The sequence below is a fragment of the Homo sapiens genome, chromosome 8, assembly GCF_000001405.40.
Source record: "Homo sapiens chromosome 8, GRCh38.p14 Primary Assembly".
NCBI classification, from domain to species: Eukaryota; Metazoa; Chordata; class Mammalia; order Primates; family Hominidae; genus Homo; species Homo sapiens.
In genome coordinates this window covers 50,357,309-50,363,977 of record NC_000008.11, presented here as the reverse complement: position 1 = coordinate 50,363,977, position 6,669 = coordinate 50,357,309, and the positions used below count along the sequence as shown (strand labels likewise).

Below are 6,669 nucleotides of genomic sequence, written 5' to 3'. Positions count from 1 at the left end.
CCCTTCCTCCATGCCTGAGGCGTGTATCTCTGCCATCTGGCTTTTCTGAGTTGCACCCTTTTATGTTAAGCCAGTAATCTAATAGGTAAACTGTTTTTCTGAGTCCTGTGAACCTTTAGAGAGAAGGCTATCCTTGGGTAGACCAGTATTCAAATGCCTATGAGAGATTCTCCAAATCTCTCTTACCAAAGGAATTGTATCCAGAGACAGTTGAGTTTATTTAGACCTACAAAAACTCTTAAAATGGCTGCATCTTCTTAAACATATAATAGCATATAACTTGCAAGTCCTCTTACAGAAAAAAAAGTGTTTGTATTCAATCTAATAAAAAAAGATGTCACATGCTTAATATTTATGCATAATCAAAATCCAATATGTCTTACAATTCTGTGAATTTCTCGTTTCCTCACTAGTCACTTCACAACTGAGGATCTAAAAGTTATTACACACACACACACATACACACACCCTGAAGTGATTTTCCCCAACACAAGCTTCAGGGACAAAGTCCAATTGTAAAGGCAAAAGCCTGATTGCAATGACCAGCAGTTCCCTAGATCAGCTTGCAGGCTCTAACCCCGCTCTGCACCTTCGGCCACCACTGCCACTACCTGCACATAGGCCACAACTGTTACCTCCCAGATTCACCACCTTTGCACTATCAAAAAAAGAGTTATGGAGAGGGGATGTAAATTCAGGTAAGGCAGGGATCATACTTGTTTATTTTCCGCTCCTGGAAAAATGCTTGGCACTTGATAGTTTCTTCATAAATATTGGTTGAGTGACTAGGTAAAAGATTGACTAAAGTGTCGATGATTTAGTCGCTAAATCTGGTTAGAAGTTTCTCTAGGCTTTACCACTGGGGTTGAAAAAAAGACCATTATTTAGCCTTAAAAATAAATATAAAACAAACAAAATAAGAATTTCTTTCTTTTTTTTAAGTTCTGCTATGTCCTGATAGGGCTAAAGAAAGGAAGAGGCCATGAGTTTCATTTTCCATCCTTTCTCTTCCCACAGGGCAATCATCTATTGGCAATTCAGTTGTCTGTGTTTACTAAGGAAGATGAGATCTTCAGTAGATTTCAGTGATAGTTATATGGCCCATTCATGTTTTGCTTTCACATTTTAAATTTATATCAATCTTATGTGTCTTTGTGAAGCCTTATTTAACACCCAGAGTAAAGTATACTTCCCATAAAACTCACCATATATAACAAAGCATAGCACCTGATATAAATTATCACCTGCTATACATAAGACTCTAACCTAAAATCCTAATAAACATAAGTAGCTTCCATATAGTAAAAATAACCAGGGAAAGAGAATACTAAATTCTAGCCTTACAGTGACTACTTAATATCTATGTGATCTTGGTGGAATAATTTTAAAGGGATTTAGTTTGCTCATCTGAAGAAAATTAGAGTGCTAAATCATTCCTATATATTTTTAGTAAAAAAAAAAGACTATCTTTATAATGAAGCATGTTACAAGTGGATGAGAGGAAAATCAACTTTAGATATTAAAGAAGTATTCTTTGAAGTGTCCAATACTTCTCCCTTCCCTCATTAGAAGACTTACTCCTCAAAAAATTCATTTTCCAGGTCAAAGCTACAGCGTTAGTTTATTGAACATAATTTCACTGTTTTGTTTTGTGTATATGTTTACTGCTACTGTCCCCTTCTTTGGTACCGCACTGGAAGATATACTGGTTATCTTCATTCTCAGTCAAGGGTCTAATTAGTCAAGACTGTGACATCCAGCATTGGTCAGAATGAGAAGTGAACTCAATGAGGGGACAATAAAATGTAGCAAGCCCTTCCCTGGCTTACAAAATCCATAGTCCTGAGGTGATTTTCTATACAAATATAATTGGAAAGACACTGGAAACATAGGGCAGGAAGCACATTTGGGGGTAAATAAGAAAACAAGAAAGTATCACAGACAGGTGCTACATAGAGATGTTCACTCACTGACTCATCCATTGCCACTTCTAGTCCTGCAAACTCTGCTCAGCATGAGTGCTCTATATAGGTGTGCCATTTTTAATCTTTTGTATCATATTTTTACTACACTTTTACTGTATTTTTCTATGCTGAAATATGTTTGGAGATACAAATACTTACTATAGTGTTGCAATTACCTTCAAGTTTTAGTATAGTAATGTGCTGTACAGGTGTGTAGCCTAAGAACAATAGACTATCTCATGTAGCCTAGATGTGTAATAGCTTATAACTCCTAGGTTCATGTTAAGTGGTCCCGTAAGATTATAAAGGAACTGAAAAATTTCTATTGCCCAGTGACCTCCCCCAAAAAAAATTCACAATGAAGGGTTTAGCAGAAGATTCTGCAGACCTCAAGATGCTCCTTAGAATGTTTGAGCTGGGTGTTGTGGCATGCACCTGTAATCCCAGCGACTTTGAGTCCCGTCTGGGCAGCCTAGAGAGATCCTATCTCTAAACAAACAAGCAAACAAAAGGTTTGAAACCATAGATCCCAACATCTAAAGGTTTTCATTAATACAGAGGAATGCTTATGATGCTTTACCTGTTTATAAACAAGTCTATAATGAAAAAAAGAAGCAAACCATCATGGACATATTTCTAAAAATGTGACTCCTCCTCAAGAAGAGCTTCAGGCACATCCTTCCAGAGGTATTCAGAAGAAGGCATCATTACCATGGGAGATGAGAGTTCCATGGCTGTTAATGCCCCTGAAGACTTTCCAGTGGGACAAGAGGAGGTGGAAGACAGTGATATTGATGATTCTGACCCTGTGCAGGCCTAGGCTAGCATGTGTCTTTGGGTATTAGTTTCCAACAAACTATTTTAAAAAGCAAAAAAGTTAAAATTCAAAAAATAAAATAGAAAAAAGCTTATAGAACAAGGATATATGAAAGAAAATATTTTTGTACAGTTGTAAATGTTTGTGTTTTAAGCTAAAAGCTATTACAAAAGAGTTAAAAAACAGCAAATCATTAAAAGTTTAAGTGAAAAATTACAGTAAGATAAGGTTTTTATTAAAGAAATTTTAAAAATAAATTTGTGTAGCCTGTGTCCAGCATTTAAAAGTCTACAGTAGTGTATAGTAATGTCCTAGGCCTTCATATTCACTTACCACTCACTCACTGACTCGTGCACAGCAACTTCTATACTGAAATTATAGTCCTGCAAGCTCCATTCATCATAAGTGCTCTATATAGGTGTACCATTTTTTATCTTTTATGCCATACTTTTACTGTACCTTTTCCATGTTTAGATATGTTTGGAGATATAAATACTGTGCTGTTACAATTGCCTGCAAGTTTTAATATAGTAATGTGCTGTGGAGGCATGTAGCCTAAGACCAATAGGCTATCCCATGTAGTGTAGGTGTGTCATAGTTTATAACTCCCAAGTATGTGGTAAATACACTGATATTGGCACAACAGCAAGATCCCCTAATGACACATTTCTCAGAATGTATCCCTGTCCTTAAGTGATGCATGGTTGTATTTAAATGTGTTAGAAGATATTAGTGATAACCCACCCACACTTTCTAGGAGGTCACAATGGCAAGACTTATAACTACAGTTCCCCAAGACAAAAGAAAACCCAAAAAGAAAAACATTTTTAAAACACATGATCTGCCAGATGTTGATAGAGAACTGGATTATCAATACATGCTGAGCAATCCACATGACTACTAGTCATCAAGAAAATATTTTGGAAATGGGGGTGGGTTTCATTGTCACTCCCATTTGTACATGTAATTCACTGCGAAGTTTGTTGCCTAATTTAGTTTGATCCTAGGAAGCACTATTTAGTTTGATCATAGGAACACAATGATTTGTAGTGATGATGATCTATCTGATCTCGTGTGGGTCTGCATGAACTGTTAGACCAGTTAATAAGAGGTGTTGATTATCCCATTCACTGAAAATTAGAATTGAGTCACTCATTAATTTATCCTCACTCTTCTACAGAAAGGCCTGCATTTCTAAGAAACTTGTTCTTTTCTTTTTAACATGAAGATTTTAGTAAGTTAGTTGTGCACTAATGTGGTTAGAAAAATCTGTAACACACTCATGTGGAAAAAAGAAAGAAAGGCATCACAGTGAAAAAATAAAAAGAGAATGGAAAACTAGAAGCTTAAATGTGAAATAAGTATTGAAAGATGCAAACAGAAAGCAGAACCAGAAAAATACTTTGAAATAGTATTAATCTTTATCCTTAAAGTTTTCTACCTTAAAATTTATCCACATTGTGCTGAAAGATGATTTTTAAAGAGTTGAGATTGAGAGAAGCTGATAGACAACTAGAATTTCTTTCACGCATTTAAAGTATCTTTCATTTATTTTCACTGTCAAGTCAGTGGCATATTTTAGACAGATTTCCAAAATCTCCTTAAGATTCAAACTGTTACTGCTATCACTGATACAAAACTTGCTCAAAGCAAATTTTATTGAAAAATATTATCACATTGGGAACAACAAGGAAAACAGAGATGCAAAAATTGGAGCTAAGCCAGGGTTATATTGTTTTATAGTGCAAGGCCAGCAAATTCAGGACACTTAAATGCCAGCGGTTTACAATGGGCAGTCCCAGAAAGTAGACTGTATAGAGCAAGATAAATTCCAGCCTTGGTTCAGATGTCAAATACATGCTGGTGAATACAGCAGGGTACAGAGTGAAGCCTGTGGGCTGAGAAGTCTATAAGGCATAAATGTGGTAAATGTGGAGACCCTGTCACATGGGGAGTGGTTTTGTGGACTAAGGAGCTGAACTCAGAGGAAGACTGAGCACAAAGCAGAATAAATGGCATGCCTATTTTGGGAAATTTTTATGTGCATCTACCTAAGGAAAGAACTGGTTGACAGCTTCAGTTATGACAGCAAAGGCACAAGGAGACAGAGAATATTCTGGTTCTGGAAGGCAGAAACATTTGCTGTCGCCTGTCATTGCCACACAGTATGATTTGTCTTTAGATGATCAGCAACTAGGTGCCAGCAAGGCCATATTTTCAGGCACAGAATACCAGTATGCATGTCTCCCATAACATTGAGAAACAAAGGAGTATCAAACCGTGCGTTAACTTACATGGAACAATAAGAAATGACAATTTCAAGTATGAAAGTGTTTTATTGTCACACTTGATGATGGTCTGAACTTGAATAGTTCATCAAGCCTTAAAACATTACCATATCTGCATTGAAAGTGGTAATTTTTCTTAGTACAAGATTCTAATTTATTGGCTACATTTGAAATCTGTAAAAAAATTACAGCATTAATCCCTGTACTGTTAAAAGTAAATTTTTTTAATACTTTCATCAGTCATTTGGTAATTTATAGTTATGAAAATTATCCAGATAATCATTAGACACTTCTTGAAATGAAATTGTTATGAAAGTTGTGCATAGTGTTATTGAGTCAAAATTGTTCAAGGTCTAAACCATTGCAAACTTATCTGAAATATTGAAATATAACTGCGGTCCTGGACTAATTGTGTCCAAGGCCATCCATCCCACTTTATGTGATTTTCTCCTTTAGTGTGTCAAGGCCAAATATCAAACTGGTTCCCATATGCTGTCCTTCAGGGTTTCCTGAGGACACATGGAACTCATTGGTCCTGACCTTTGCTTGTATCCTCCATTAGTTAATGAAGTTAAAAACAAAAACTTACTCTAATGAATACTGAGCAGATGTAGGAGTGTGAGCGTTCTTGCAAACAAACTGAAAACTATCCAGGAGTACATTTGTATGGCAAAACTATTTGATGTTTCTTTACCTTTCACTCCGATAAAGTTCAAGGTGCTTCTGAAAAGAGCCTATGGGTTCCCGAGAGAAACCTTGCTCCCAGCTGTTCAGCACAGTATTCCTAGCACCCAGCACAGAGCCTGCCACATGGTGGGACACAATCAATATTTGGAAGAGATTCACATTATGTCAGAGTGGCTGGAAAGGGACTTTATGGATAAGCTGGGACTTGGATTTTTAAAAAATAAGAAGGAAATAGTAAAAAAAAACACAAAAAGGGAAAACAAATAAAACTTCTAATTACATATGCACTCAACGGAGACACAATCAAATATCTGTCATCTGGATTATTGACAAGAAATGCTGGCCAGGATCATCTAGCAGTTATTTACAGGTGACATTAGATTTCCTCCCATGAGTATTTTTTTCTTATGAAGCTTATTTCATCATTTGTAAAGTAACACAAGATAAAATTACTTTATATTCTTTAAAGGCACACCACTAAGCAGTTATCAGTCTACTGAGAAATATTCTAGGTGACATGAGAAAGTCATTCTGGAAAACAGATAAACATGAATGTGCTGACAAGGATAATCAAAAGCTGACAACATTAAACCTGCTTCAGTATCAAGGCTGGTCCATTTCCTTTGAAGTCCAGTCTTACTGCACAGAGAATGATGTTAATATAATATAAAATCTATTCATCTTGGTAACAGGAAGAGTAGTGATAATAATTCCCACATGCCAAGGACACTTGTATTGATTTTAGAATGTGATTTTGAACTTAATTTGGAACTGTGTCTGCTGCTTTTATAATTCATATCACCTCAGTGGCATAATAAAACCATACTGTAAAGCACGTCGCAGAAACAATGTGTAAACCTGTTCTTTTGTTTCCATCCAGTTGGACTTGGCAATTGTTGATTAACTTCTACAT

General features: G+C 36.0%; 1 protein-coding gene across 21 annotated transcripts in view; it reads right to left on the bottom strand.

Annotated features, from left to right (window-relative positions):
* Positions 1-6,669, bottom strand: part of SNTG1 (syntrophin gamma 1) — an 886,897-nt gene that overhangs the window by 432,715 nt on the left and 447,513 nt on the right. The gene's annotated exons all lie outside the window — the stretch shown is intronic.